Raw genomic sequence first — 15,014 nt, forward strand, 5'->3', positions numbered from 1 at the left:
CCATGCGTACTGTTTACCTTACAATCCCAGATTAAGAGAGAAAAAGGCAAGCGTGTTATTTTGGCATTATGTGCAAATCAAATCAGCATCTATTTTTTTTTTAATTCAAAAATATCCACTGATTACCTGCTTCTTATGAGAGCACTGTTAGGTTTCTGCACAATGCTTATATCCAAGTAAAGTAGCATAGAATTAATTTAAGGGAAACAATTCTTGCTCTTAATAAAATGAATTCACCATTACCAACCAAATCAATGTTTGGATTATTTGAGTATTATTTATTCTAGAATTTATTCTTGGCTATTGAATAATTCATGTGGTTCTCTCAGAGCAGTTTTTGTTTTTTAATTATTGGTTCCCTTCCCCTACCTCTTACATCCAATACATTGGTAAATTGTTTTGGCTGTCTTATCTCCAGAATACATCCTGAATCTGACCATCTCACTCTTGAAACCTTACTACATTTTCAGTAGCCTTGCAAATTTTTCAAGGTGACTTTTAACCTTGAGTCCCTTAGGACTGCCACAGTTTCTTATATTTTCAACCGGTGCCTTGGGGAATACTCATAAAAAGAAAGTTGTGAAGGGAGAGAACAGGATCAGATGCTTTTGCACATCAGTCTTGTGTTTTTCTCTTCCAATCACTGTTTAATGCTGAGATTTGGAAAAGATGCGTGAGGAGAGTTAATGAAGCCAGGTTAGAATATCTGGCTGAATTCTAATGTGTTTTGACAGGATGTTAAACTACTGGGAAACATGGGGTATATGTGGGCATTTCCCCCATGGCAATGCTAAGCATAATTTAAGTCACTCTCAATTTGAGGGCTACAATAGATATGGTAGTGCTAAGAGTCAATAGTAAGTACCTGAATTAGTCAAGGTTCTCCAAAGAAAAAGAACAAATAAGATATGTAGAGAAAGATTTATTTCAAGGGATTGACTGGTGATTGTGGACACTGGCAAGTTCAAAATCTACAGGGTGGGCCAATACACCAGAGACCCAAGGAAGAGCTGATGTTTCAAGTACAAAGGTAATTCTGCTGGTAGAATTCTCCCTTCACCGTTGGATGAGGCTCATCCACATTATGGAGAGTAATCTGTTTTACTCAAAGTCTACTGACTTAAACACTAATTACATCTAGAAAATACCTTTACAGCCACATAGACTACTGTTTGATCAAATGCCTGGGTACCATGGCCTAGCCAAATTTGACACATAAAATTAACTATCACAGTATCCTTAAAATTAAATTCCAAAAGCTAGGCGTGGTGGCTCACGCCTGTAATCCTAGCACTTTGGGAGGCCAAGGTGAGTGGGTCACTCGAGGCCAGGAGTTCAATACCAGCCTGGGCAACATGGCAAAACCCCATCTCTATGAAAAAATACAAAAATTAGCTGGGTGTCGTGGCGCATGCCCATATTCCCAGCTAATTGGGGGGCTAAGCTGGGAGGATTGCTTAAACCTTGGGAGGTCAAAGCTGCAGTGAGCTGAGATTGTGCTGCACTCCAGCCTGGGTGACAAAGTGAGACCTTGTCTCAAAAAAAAAAAATTCCAAAAGAAACTCCACTTCAAAATATAAAGTCATAAATTCAGTATGTAGAAATTATAAATATTTTATTAATTTATCTTGTAACGAAAGGGGATGTTGTAGCACGTGATGTATTTGGAAGAAGAATTAATACTTTATAAGGCTTGTGATGCCCCTTACATTCAGTTGTGATAACCAACAGTAGTATATGTTTGTTTTCACACTTTGCGAAGAGGCATCATCCCGATTTTACAAATACGCAGAGACTCACTAGTGACCAACCTGTGACCGGGTGCAGTGGCTCATGCCTGTAATCCCAACACTTTGGGAGGGTGAGGCGGGCGGATCACTTGAGCACAGTTGGAGACCAGCCTGGGCAACATGGCAAAACCCCATCTCTATAAAAAATACAAAAATTAGCTGGACGTGGTGGCTGGCGCACACCTGTAGTCCCAGCTATTTGCGGGGCTGAGGCAAGAGGATCGCTTGAGCCCGGGAAATTGAGGCTACAATGAGCTGTGATTGCACCACCACACTTCAGCCTAGGTGACACAGTGAGATGCTGTCTCAAAAACAAAAACAAAAAACAGTGACCAACCTACGACCCAAGCAACCGCAATGTTTGTGACTTCGGACTCTGTTGTTAATTACGTCACAGTTGGTTGTCTTAGAGATCACAGAATACTTGGAAAGTTAACATGGAAATGATTCCTTCCATACATGTATTATATAATACAAAAGTTTCAGATTATCAGAATGTTAAATGAAGTAAAGTTGTTAAGTCATTGGAAGTTAATGGATTTGGTTTCAAGAGTAGCTTTAGTACAGAGAGAAAGGATGCTTTTAAAGTGAATAGAAAAAAATGAAGACAAATAATTTACTATCAGTTATGGACTAAGACAAACAGGAAGAATCTGAAGAGAGGATGCAGCTGAAACAGGAGGAGTATCCTCTCAGGAAGTGCTTTCCTTCCTTCCTCTCCTTTCCACCAACATTTGTTCCACGGCTTCCTCTCTTCAAACCACACCTTGTAAACCCTTTTATGTGCTCTGTTCACAACAAGAATTTCATGTGCTGTTCCATACTGGGTTTTAACTAATAAAATGCACACACACACACACAAAAGGCTAAATGCCTTTTTACACAGGAGATTAACTTTATTCAGTCTTTAAGCTGAAAGCAAGTACAGTTAGGATATATAGCAGGCGACAGTTTCCATATGTTCTAGGAAAGTGGAGCTGTATTATTTATAGTTTACAACATGTTGTATAAAATTAAAGCTAGCAAGGGGGCTCCCAGGGAGGTAAATTAAACAAAGAAGGGAAGACTTAGAGAACTCTATTTTGCTATAATCAGAGAACATGCCTATAAGAAAGCACTAAAAAAAATAATATTTAACATTAAACAATATGCAAAAGTACTTGGGGTGTTTACAATAGCTTAAATTCTAAAATTAAAAAGGACATTGAAGACTGAGAAGGGGAAAAACACCTTAATTTTGTAATCTTAATAGAAAGAAAAATGTGTCCTAAAAGCAGGAGTAAATAAATGTCATTAAAAAGGTGTATCTTCCAAAGTGCAAAGACACGTTACAAGAAATCAGGTTGCTCTTTGACCCACCAGTCTCAAAGCACATTAGACTGCAGCAAGTAATAATTGCTTCCTCATTTAGATTAGACAATGAGTGCTCTCTGCAAGCTGCTCTCCTCTAAATAGATTGTAGAGAGTAATTGAAACAAGTTATATGGGGAAGTGGAGTGACCGATTCCTCAAAGTGTGGGAGCAGAGCTATGGTAACCTCTTGAGCCTGGCCTTCATCCTGTTCCTATTTAGGGAATCCGCGGGGCAGCCAGTGTTGAGTGCAGTCTGCAGTTCGCCGGCTTTATTGTTCAGACTTGAAGAGAAGGTCACATGCCCTCTTTGACAGAGAGGTTTATGGGCTCTCTCTAATTAGCAGCACCCTCCACCAGACAGACTGTTGGCCACTTTCCAAGAACGGGACTTGGTAGCGGCCACTGATGAAGGAGAAAACAAGGTTATTTACCCTGCGACTGTAATTCTTGGCACAAATTCTCCCTTTACACTCAGACACGTTTTTTCTTTTGTTCCAACTTGCCTTTGGAATCCTGATTAGGGCGTTAAGAGAGGGAAATGCAGCTATATATTTAGTGGTGTAAGCAACCCATATGTTGGCCTTAGATACTTTTGACTATTCTAAGACCTCATACCAAAAGAGAGAAAGAAAAAGGAAAACGAAAAGGGCAGCGTAGTCGAGCGTTGCTTGCAAATGTAACTGCTTAAGCACATGCCCACACACAACTCCAGAAAAGGAAGTTTAATTTGCAACATCTATAAAATAACGACAGTTGTATGGTAGGACACAGAAATCCCAGCGGTAAAGTGTGATTGGGCTTAGCTATTATTGGAGTGTTAAAAGAGTACCGGGAATATATTTGGCTTGTCCTGTTCTGTCAGTTCTGTAGGCCGGTGGATTAAGCTGATAGAAATGCTTTTTGGTTGATTTAAACCAGATGCTCCGACTATTTTTGTCCCGTTTGCAGGCGCAGAAGCTCTGCATAAGGCAATACTGCCCCCCTCGGCCGACCGCCAACTGCAAGGCGTAGGAGACTGCTCTCCACTAGCCACCTCGGCCATAAAACCCTTTCAAGTCCCTATTATTATTCCAGGCACATTCCAAGGGGATTGAGTCACAGAGTTCACTTGGCTTTTCTCCTGCCCTGAACTGCCTGTACCAGGTGGAATACGACTCTCAACTTCAAATATGGAATCCAAAAGCAGTCAAAGAGCGCTTTAGAGCAAGCCCCAGATGCGAACTCTACTGCCACTTCTCCCCCTCCCCCAACTGGGGTTTGCTGGCTGCGCAGCTGTAGTCCCACGCCAGCACTAAGGTCGCCTGGTCGACAAATGAGGGTTTTCTTTGGGGCATCCTGTAGAGCTGTCCTATTTTCTCTACCACTTTGAGAAGCCCCAAGGGCTGCTTGGCGGCGAGGCACAGACTGGGCTGAAAACTTTTCCGTTGGGCAGTGCGTCCCGGAGACCCAGGAGGCCCAGGCCGGGAGCCCAGGGGGCTGGAGGTTCTGCTGGCTTTTAAGTCTGCTAGGAGGGAAAACTCCCAGCCCCTCCCACGCGTCCTCCCAGACTCGCCGGCCGCCTGCCCCGGGCGGGGAACGCGCACATCTGGCGGCCCAGGAGCCACATCTGATGCACTAACCCCCGCACCCAGATGTCCAAGAGGCCGGGGGAGTCAAAGAACGCCAGGGGCGGGGCGACCGCGGCTGCGGCTCCTCCCTCGGGCAGAGGGAGTCCAGATGCGAGGGACGCCCTCCAGAGCCGAGCTGGGCCGGCCGGGCAGCTAGGGTGCTGGGAGGTTGCGGTGCAGGGTGGGTGGGTGCAGTGAGGCTGGAGCCACGCTGGGGGGGCTGGGCTGGCGGGGGGAGGCTGGAGCCGCGCCGGGGAGAGGGAGGCGGCGGTTGGGTGCTGGAGGGCGCTGGTGCCGTGCCAGTGGGCGGTGGCGCCTTACGCCACCCGCCCCACCCCCGTCACCGTGCCCGCCCCACTGCGTGGGATTTTACAACCTAGGTCCCCGGGAGGTGGTGGTGGAGGGAGGGGCGGCGGGGACGTTTCCGGGGCGGGGGAGGGGCGCACTGCTCCAGAACTGGACCGAGGGCGGGGCTCCCCTCTGCTTCTCCCCTCTGTTCCAGCGCTGAGACGCAGGCCTTTCCTGGCGCGAAGCGACTCGCCCCGGAGCTCCCCTGCACCGTCCTGGGTGTCAGGACGCGTCAACCCAGATGACCCGACCCGGAGATCCTGGATCCTCTGCCCTCTTCCCCCTACCAAGTCCTTAACCGGAGAGGGAGGAGCTACCAATGTCCTCCAGACGTTCTCCAAAGCCCGAGCTGCCGGGAGAAGCTTGCTCAAGGCGGGTGCGCCCCTCAGACGTTTGTTTGCACGCAGGGGTTTTGACGTTTCGCTAAGCAACAGCGTTTGCCAGGGAATCAGGGCTGTTTCGAAGAGCTTGCGTCTATTTGATGCTCCCATCTTGAACAAATCGTTTCCATTCGATTTGTTTAACCAAGGCGAGGGCGGACTATGTTGTTACTTAAAAGTTATTCTTCATCCAAGCTGTCCTCAGATTTTCATCTAAGGGTGTCATAACACCCCAGGTCGTTGCGCAAATGTTTTGTGACAATTTAGAAAACCAGAGGGGGGAAATATCCTTAGAGAAAAAATCATAACCAACAAGAAAATTATGTTAAATGATGTTGGTCCTTTTTCATCGGATGGTCCCAGTTGACACATAGTCTTTTACAAAACCAGTGACTATTCACAGTCTTCAATTTATGGCACATCTCCCGGTGGGGGCGAAGTGCATGAATGGGTCCCACCTTATTCACCAGCTGAAACTCTGAACAAGCCTTGGGGTTTCCTCTCCCAAAGACTGCCAGGCTTCACTAAGAATCAAAACAAAACAGGATACTAAATGCCTGCGGTAAGTTTTCAAATATGAGCTCTTCCATTGCTTATTTCTGTGAATTGTGGCAAATTGCATAATGTCTTTTGCCCCTGGTGCTGCTTAGAGACAGGGTCTCACTGTGTTGCGCAGGCTAAAGTACAATGGCACGATCCTAGCTCGTTGCAGCCTCAAACCCCTGGGCTCAGACTATCCTCTGGCCTCAGCCTCCCAACCAGCAAGGGTTACAGTCGCATGCCACCACACCTGGTTAATTTTTTATTTTTGTTTTTTAGAGATAGGGGACTCACTATGTTGCCCAGGCTCGCCTGAAATTCCTAGCCTCAAGCATTCCTCCCAGCTCAGCCTCCCAAAGTGTTGAGATTACAGGCGTGAGCCACCATGCCTGGCAAGCTTCATCATTTCTAAAATGTAACTGTATATTTTAGAGTAGCATAGGAGTGGTGTAAGGGTTAAGGATTAATGATACTGCAAATCAAGTGCTTAACACAAAGTTTAATGCATAGGAAGAACATAATTGTTATTATCAATGTGAGTAGACTGTTTACCACCAAAATGAAAGGTGTGGGCAATGGTAACTGGGTAGCCTCCAGAGATCCTTTTTTAAAAGGAGTATGAGTTTTAATACATTCGTTGAATGAATAAAACCCACAACACTCTAGGCACATCTCCAGTCCTTGCCCTGGCAGGGCTTTCAGTCTAACTAGAGGAAATTGGATGAAATGATAATGATGCATACCTAGTCTTTCGTCATACTGTGAAAGCCTTTTAAAACATGGATTTGACTTCTGGGTTTCCCATTATAACCACTTCCCAAAGAAGATTGTTCGTTCTTTCAGAAAATTTCACTAGGGTGATGATAAGGTATTAACAGATGTATGTTGAAAACATCCTCTTCCTTTTTCTGTGTAGCCCCTTCTTCCTTTGGAATTTTAGAAGAATCTGATCAAGGCAACCTCTGTATTAAGTGAAAATTTGGGAACTCAAAAATATATTAGATGCACAGAAAGTGCAATTCTGAAAAGGTCAGGGCTATTGCGTATAGAGGGGAGCTGCTGAAACTATAGGAGTCTTTTAAATTTTTCAGGCTCAGCTTCCTTTGCTTTAAAGTTAAAGAAGGGTTGGACTAGTTCTTCCTTCCTGCACTCAAACTCTTTGGTTTCAAAGGTAGCTGTGTCCAGGTATTTTCTGTGTATTCCAGAGCCCTGACCAGGAGGGGAAGGACTTTGAGAGGCTTTGGGCTTGACAAAATATCATGACCAAGTGTGGTGGCTCACACCTGAAATCCCAGACTTTGGGAGGCTGAGGCAGGAGGATCGCTTGAGCCCAGGAGTTTGAGACTAGTGTGGGCAACATAGTGAGACCCTGTCTCTTAATAAAAAAAAAAAAAAGGAGAAAGAGAAAAAAAAACCATGGAGTGAAGAGAGGCTAAGGAACTCAGACCAGTACTGAATTATAAAGCAAGGTAAAGTGTCTATAACCAGGTATATATTAACGTATTTCTTTCTTTTTTTTTTTTTTGAGACAAGAGTCGCGCCCTGTCACCAGACTGGAGTGCAGTGGCATGATCTTGGCTCACTGCAACCTCTGCTTCCCAGGTTCAAGTGATTCTCCTGCCTTGGCCTCCTAAGTAGCTGGGACTACAAGGCGCATGCCACCATGCCCAGCTAGTTTTTTGTTTTTTGTTTTTTTGTTTTGTTTTGTTTTGTTTTTTTTAAGTAGAAATGGGGTTTCACTATGTTGGCCAGGATGGTCTCGATCTCTTGACCTCGTGATCCGCCTGCCTCAGCCTCACAAAGTGCTGGGATTACAGACATGAGCCACCACGCCCAGTCGTATTTCTTTCCTTTTTTTTTTTTTTTTTTTTTGAGATAAAGTCTCACTCTGTCACCCAGGCTGGAGAGCAATGGCATGATCTCGGCTCACTGCAACCTCCACCCCCCGAGTTCAAGCAATTTTCCTGCCTCAGCCTCCCGAGTAGCTGGGACTGCAGGCGTGTGCCACCACGCCCAGCTAAATTTTGTATTTTTAGTAGAGACGAGATTTCACCATGTTGGCCAGGCTTGTCTCGAATTCCTGACCTTGTGATCCGCCCGCCTCAGCCTCCTAAAGTGCTGGGATTACAGGTGTGAGCCACGGTGCCCGGCCAACATATTTCAATATATATAGTGGATATATTAATATATACATTGGTATATATATTTTAAAAATAAGAGGTACCTATGTATTTATTTCTGGCTTATCTATAGTATAGATTCTGTATACACACAGATCACCCTGTGAGTCTTCCTAATACCTACAAAACAGGTAGAATTTTCTTCTTTTGTCTATGATCGTGGTCTGAAGGATGACTTTTCAGCAGCAGAAGGGACTGGAATGGAAGGTGTCCATAATTTTGGCTGGAAGAGAGAAGTGTGCCCTCTTGTGGGTCTCCTGTCATGTTCTCAGAAAGTTCCTCAGGATAGAGCTGTGGCCTTTGTGGTCAGGGCTCTAGTCCCATTTTACCTTCAGATGCCTCCTATGCAATTTTTTTCTCATCATCTTCCCTGAGAAATATTTCCCAAATAATAACACAGCTCCCTCATCTCCCTAAATTACCTCCCTCACACTCCACATCCAGTGGATCAGCCCTTCCTCTTAGGTCTAATTTTTTTTAAAACTTTTATAAGTTTAATATTGTCACTGTATGTTTACATATTCATTGGTACAATTTACATCATCTTCTCCATTTTTGCAAAGATAGCATGTACACAAAGATACATATTCAATAACTGAGAAACAAGTGAAACTTCTGATCTATACTTTCAGGTTTGTTCAATCATGATACTTCTGATAAGGATCATGGACATACCAGTTTTACCTCTCCCAGAATGACGTCGCCATTTTATCTTAAGAGTTTACTCTGGGTTTTATTGCAGAATACAAATTCCCTCAATCGCTTTTTTCTTGCAGGTTCCTTTTTCCATAATTTTTTTCTTTTAACCAGCCTTTCACCTCACCCAAAGGCCACAATGAAGTCGAAGAAACCTGTAGATGACAGCTTTCACAGTCTTTCTCTTGTCTTTTCATGTACTGAAGTATGTTAGAGATCTGACTGGCAGCTTCAGGACACTCGGAAGCAAGGGGGACACTCTATTAAGGATCGCTGAAGTATGCCCACATGTCAGGTTTCTCTCAGATGTGGTTAAGTCTGGAAGTGGAGGAAACAACTGGTGTCTAAATATGACTGAAACGTCCAGTGGACAATGCAGAAATAAGAGAGGCATTCTTGACACAGTTTCTGTATGCTGAAGATGCCAAAATATTCAAGAGCCATCGGATTCCTGAAGCTGCTCTCACTGCACCAGCAAAGGCAAAAGCAGCCATCCCTCTCAGCTCTAATTTATGGATATGGATGTATCCCAAACCCCATCCCTTCTTACTACCTCCTGCACTAGCAACTAGTCCAAACCACCATCATTTCTTGCCCAACCTGCTGCAATCACCTCTTAAGTATTTTCCCTGCTTCCACTCCTTCACCGTATATTTCATTCTCCACACAGCAGCCAAAGCGGTTTTTTTAAAAAATACAAATGAAATGTGCTCACTCTACTATTCAAAATCCTTTAGTAGTTTCTTTTCACACTTGGATAAAATCCACACTCCCTCACCACAACCTATATGACTGGACTCTTGCCTAATCTTCTCACCTCATCCTCTATCACTTTCTTCCCTGTTCATTCCTCTCCAGGAACTGGCCTTCTCACTGTTCCTCAGAAATATGAAGCGGACTACTGCTTTAGGGTCTTGCATTTGCTGTTTCCTCTGTTTTCAACCCCCAGACCGTCACATGGCTTTCTCTCTTACCTCACTCAGGTCTCTGCTCAAATGTTGCCTCAGAGAGGACTTCCCTCATCACCACCCCTAATATAAATGAAGCACCGTAGCCGTAGCCGTTCCCTAACCAATTGCCCTACTTTATTCACCTTCACATCTCTTATCAAATATCCTGTTTACCTGTTTACTTGATTATTGTTTGCTTTACCTCTAGAATGCATGTTCTATGAGTGTAGGGACTTGGTCAATCTTGTTCAACAAGGAACTTCCAGTCCAAAACTGTACCTGTCATAGAAAAGGCACCCAATAAATATGCAAATCAAACTACGGTCACTCAGTGACAGAGAAAGAATGAGAACAATTTAAATAGTGTGAGGAAGTGTGTTTACTATTTTGCTCAGTAAATGTATGCACTAGAACAAGTATGAGATGGGAGATGTGAATCTACTTTATCTCTTAGTTCCCCTGTGCTATTCACAGTATGATCAATGTGCCATGCTGGGTGTTTAAAGATGCTGACAGTTTGAACAGCATGGCCCTTACATGCAGAGAAGTTCCGTAATGAGTTTGAGTCCTGGATTCACCACGTTAGTGTCTGACCTTGGGGAAGTTACTTACGCTTTCAATGCCTCAGTTTCTTCATCCATGAAATGAGGCTAATAATAGTACTACCTCTATAGGATTGTTATAAGGATTAAATTAATAATATAAATATCTTAGAACAGTGCCTAGAACATAGTAAGCCATGTCTGAGTATTTTTAAAGCAAACCTATTTGGCTGTACTTGGTTCTCCCCTTTCTTGGGGACTTTATAACTTGAGTACTTATAAGATACTACTCTGCCCAGCACTTTGGGAGGCCGAGGTGGGTGGATCACGAGGTCAGGAGATTCAGACCATCCTGGCTAAAATGATGAAACCCCGTCTCTACTAAAACTACAAAAAAATTAGCCAGGTGTGGTGGCGGGCGCCTGTAGTCCCAGCTACTCGGGAGGCTGAGGCAGGAGAATGGCGTGAACCCAGGAGGCGGAGCTTGCAGTGAGCCAAGATCGCGCCACTGCACTCCAGCCTGGGCGATAGAGCGTGACTCCATCTAAAAAAAAAAAAGATGCTACTCTGAAGTGACTGGCATTGGAATTTTCATCATGCTTTTAGACCAGTAATTTTAGTTTTAGCACCAAGTACAATAATTATTTTATAACCATTGCTAGTCTAGCATTTTTGCTTAGCCATAAATTCCATTTAAGCCAAAATATCCCTAACTTTGCAAAAAACTGTACCTTCAGGGGACACCACCCAATTATAGTTGAAAAAAAGATGTTTCTTCCTTTTTAATTCTGTAGGCTTTTCTTGGCTGGCATTTCCATAACATAATATTGTTATTTGGTAGTTGAGTGTCAGTCAGCTCTACAGAAAAATAAATACCAGTGATCTTGCTAAACCTGTGTACCAAATCATTCCTGAACTAGGGGAGTGGGCCAGATAACCTTTGGAAGGCTTTTTAGCTCTGTTTTTCTGTGGTTTTCGTAAAATGAAAATAGCTCAGAAATTAGAGGTTCTAGATTTAGCACTATGTGAACTGGGCCGGGATGCTTTGTGAATCATGGACAATTGAAATAGTTTAAACTCAGCTTATTTGGAACAGATTAGGTCCATATTCGGGTTGAACAAGAATGAAACCTGTTTGAACTGTGGACAGGCTGTCAGCACCCTTCTAGGCTCAGCTTTTCACTTCTCTTTCTAGGGCCTTGACTCGTTCATATATAACTGTATGAATGCCTCTTTAGAAAGGACTGCAAACACCTCCAACTAGTGTTTGTGAAACCTCCTTGAGGTATTCTACATATGATTCAATAATAAACACCTTCTGCAGTCTTTACCTTAGTTATGGTCCCATAAGTCATGCATTTATTCATCCAGTAAATATTCCCTGAGGGCTTAATATGTGCTAGGAATTGTGCTAGTACTAGCCACTTAGTTGTCCAAGTTAGAAACTAGGAGTTGGGCCAGGCACAGTAGCTCACGCCTGTAATCCCAGCACTTTGGGAGGCCGAGGTGGGAGGATCACCTGAGGTCAGGAGTTCGAGACCAGCCTGGCCAACATGGTGAAACCCCGTCTCTAGTAAAATTACAAAAATTAGCTGGGTGTGGTGGTACATACCTGTAATCCTAGCTACTCGGGAGGCTGAGGCAGGAGAATCGCTTAAACCTGGGAGGCAGAGGCTGCAGTGAGCCAAGATCGTGCCACTGTACTCCAGCCTGGGCAACAGAGTGACTCCGTCTCAAAAAAAAGAAAAGAAAAAAGAAAAGAAAGAAAAAGAAACCTAGGCGTCGTCTTAAATATACCCCCCTCATTCACTCCCCACATTAGGTCAGCCACCAAACTGGTGCCAATACTACCTTCCAAATATCTCTTGAAGTTTTGTTCTCCTCTTCACTCGCTCCTGGTGCCACTATGTTGGTAAAAGTGGTGTAAGCCCAGCTACTGTAGAAAGCAGGGCACAAAGCAGTCTGCTAAGGAGGGGGAAGAGGAGGGGAAGATGGGACACAGTGAGATGCACTGTTATACTGTTTACTGTTGTGCAGTCATACAACAGGTCACTCAGCAGGCATGGGACGTCCCTGGAAGGGTTAACAAGGAAGAACTCCATCTTGGACTATTCCACATGAGAAAAAAGAGTGAGTGTGTCTTCCTGTCTCTCTCCTGGATCCATTTGCCATTGGTGAAGGTTTACCCCATGGAGAGATAAACACCCCTGAATTGGATTGTGTCATCTGGCCGCTTGGCGGCTCTCAGGAAGGCAGATCCCAAGCTCAAGGTGTGGTACTTGTTCCAACTTCAAAAGTAAAGCAACAGGCACTCTGGAGATCTCAGAAAGTACACAAGGTTTGTTTCTCAATATAAACGAAGACCTCAGAGTTTTTTCCTTCAGATTCTTGCAAACGCCTACTAAGAGGACTTTGTACCTCTCACTTACTCCCTTCTAATCCATTCTTTACACTGCACCTACGGTGATCTTTGCCAGACTCAAATCTTTCACTAGCTCTCCTTAAACTCCAGGATACACTCTAAGATCTCTCCTTGCCTGCTTTCCAGTCCTCTTATTAAAGAGAAGTTTTACCAATTGAATCAGATGGTCATTCCTCTCAAGTTCTTTGTTAGCATTTATTGGTTTCTTTTTATTTTTATTTTTGATACAGAGTCTTGCTGTGTCACCCAGGCTGGAGTGCAGTGGCACAATTTCAGCTCACTGCAACTTCTGCCTCCCGGGTTCAAGTGATTATTGTGCCTCAGCCTCCCAAGTAGCTGGTATTACAGGCACACACCACCACACCCGGCTAATTTTTGTATTTTTAGTGGAGATGGGGTTTCGCCATGTTGGCCAGGCTGGTCTTGAACTCCTGACCTCAGGTGATCCTCCCACCTCAACCTCCCATAGTGCTGGGATTATAGGCGTGAGCCACTGCACCCAGCCTATTGGTTTATTATTCAAAAGTAATATACTTACTATAGGAAATTTGGAAAATACAGAAAATATGAAAAAGGAAATAAAAATCACTTTCCTTGAGGAAAAAACTTCTATTAACATTTTGGAATATATCCTGGCCATATTTTTTCTATGAACATATGTACATGTTTTTGAAATCTCAGAGGCATATCTTAAATAAAAATTGTACTTTAACAGTTACTACACTGAAGTTAATACTCAACCAAAAGTGTGTCAAGACCACCCAAATGGTTCAATTTGATAAATGCACTTTACAATAATTTTTTTATTTTTTAATTTTATTTCTTTTCTACTTAAGCATGAAAAAAGGTATGTTTACATTTCAGAAATATAACACATTAAGAAGCCCTCTATAAACATAACCCTTTCCCAATATATTTTACTGCTTTGTTTTAAATACAATTACCTAATAATAAATAAACTTAGATAACAATCTAAAAATCGTAATTGCAACTGTTAACATTTGCTTTGTTATATTGGAAGAGAAAATTTAAAGTTATAATAAACTGTTTGCTACATCATAGCCTAAAACTAGACAAAATTTGTCCTATATTAATTGAGCTTAACAAAAATTGTTTATTTTGTGATTCTATAAATACCAATATAATATTTTTACTCTATTATAAGTAAATTGATGTATTAGCATCACAAATTACTGTTTTCTCCCAGTCAGCCTATGAAATATGAACTTTCCATGGTAGTTGATAAAAATACTGTGTTTAAAAAAAAAAAATCACACGGTCAAGACTAGAATTTGAAAACAATAGCAGGAGCTGATATTTAAAATCACCAAGACCTATTAAAACGACAACAGCATATTTAAACAAAAAAATTAAGCTACTAAATAATGAATGCTTGTATAGTCATAATGAAATTAGAGTAAATCTATATTAATATCATGAAAACACATCAAGTTTCTATTAGAGGAACAGAATCAACACTATCCTAACTTTTCTAAGAATTATTTTGAATATAAAACTTTTAGAGCCAGGCGCGGTGGCTCACGCCTGTAATCCCAGCACTTTTGGGAGGCTGAGGCGGGCGGATCACGAGGTCAGGAGATCGAGACCATCCTGGCTAACACAGTGAAACCCCGTCTCTACTAAAAATACAAAAAAAATTAGCTGGGCGTGATGGTGGGCGCCTGTAGTTCCAGCTACTCGGGAGGCTGAGGCAGGAGAATGGTGTGAACCCGGAAGGCGGAGTTTGCAGTGAGCCGAGATGGCGCCACTGCACTCCAGACTGGGCGAGAGTGAGACTCCGTCTCAAAAAAAAAAAAAAACTTTTAGGGTACAAATGGCGTCATACAAAAAAGACAGTTACGACTCTGATATTGGGACATTAACTTTTTAATAACTGGAAACCCTTGAGAAAATATTAACACATTTATAAATCAAAGACATCTCTTGTGATTTATTACAGAACCACTTAAGGTTCATTAGATAAGCACTCGTTATTTTGTTAATATTAATACAATTAGAAAATATTTGCTGTTGGTCATGTTTTATTTTATACATTATATTATTCTCTTAGGCCTTCAATTAAAGATAATCATAGAAAGCAAAGCATAACATTCTTAATGAAAATACTAAAATTCCAATTATATTCAAATTGCACAGTTATTTTTAAAATCTGTTTTCAGAAGTTTATATATATTCACACATATACA

General features: G+C 42.6%; 1 pseudogene, besides 5 other annotated features; it reads right to left on the minus strand.

Moving 5' to 3' along the window:
• Positions 3,576-3,785: an enhancer, noted in NCBI's record as "active region_3442". NCBI's record gives its function as "activates an Ori minimal core promoter by ATAC-STARR-seq in GM12878 lymphoblastoid cells {active_cell/tissue: GM12878}" and the evidence as "EXISTENCE:reporter gene assay evidence [ECO:0000049][PMID:35858748]".
• Positions 4,176-4,355: an enhancer, noted in NCBI's record as "active region_3443". NCBI's record gives its function as "activates an Ori minimal core promoter by ATAC-STARR-seq in GM12878 lymphoblastoid cells {active_cell/tissue: GM12878}" and the evidence as "EXISTENCE:reporter gene assay evidence [ECO:0000049][PMID:35858748]".
• Positions 4,366-4,415: an enhancer, noted in NCBI's record as "active region_3444". NCBI's record gives its function as "activates an Ori minimal core promoter by ATAC-STARR-seq in GM12878 lymphoblastoid cells {active_cell/tissue: GM12878}" and the evidence as "EXISTENCE:reporter gene assay evidence [ECO:0000049][PMID:35858748]".
• Positions 4,886-5,215: a silencer, noted in NCBI's record as "silent region_2410". NCBI's record gives its function as "represses an Ori minimal core promoter by ATAC-STARR-seq in GM12878 lymphoblastoid cells {active_cell/tissue: GM12878}" and the evidence as "EXISTENCE:reporter gene assay evidence [ECO:0000049][PMID:35858748]".
• Positions 8,870-9,388, minus strand: MRPL35P2 (mitochondrial ribosomal protein L35 pseudogene 2; annotated as a pseudogene).
• Positions 11,629-11,728: a silencer, noted in NCBI's record as "silent region_2411". NCBI's record gives its function as "represses an Ori minimal core promoter by ATAC-STARR-seq in GM12878 lymphoblastoid cells {active_cell/tissue: GM12878}" and the evidence as "EXISTENCE:reporter gene assay evidence [ECO:0000049][PMID:35858748]".

This window comes from Homo sapiens, chromosome 10, assembly GCF_000001405.40.
Source record: "Homo sapiens chromosome 10, GRCh38.p14 Primary Assembly".
NCBI classification, from domain to species: domain Eukaryota; kingdom Metazoa; phylum Chordata; class Mammalia; order Primates; family Hominidae; genus Homo; species Homo sapiens.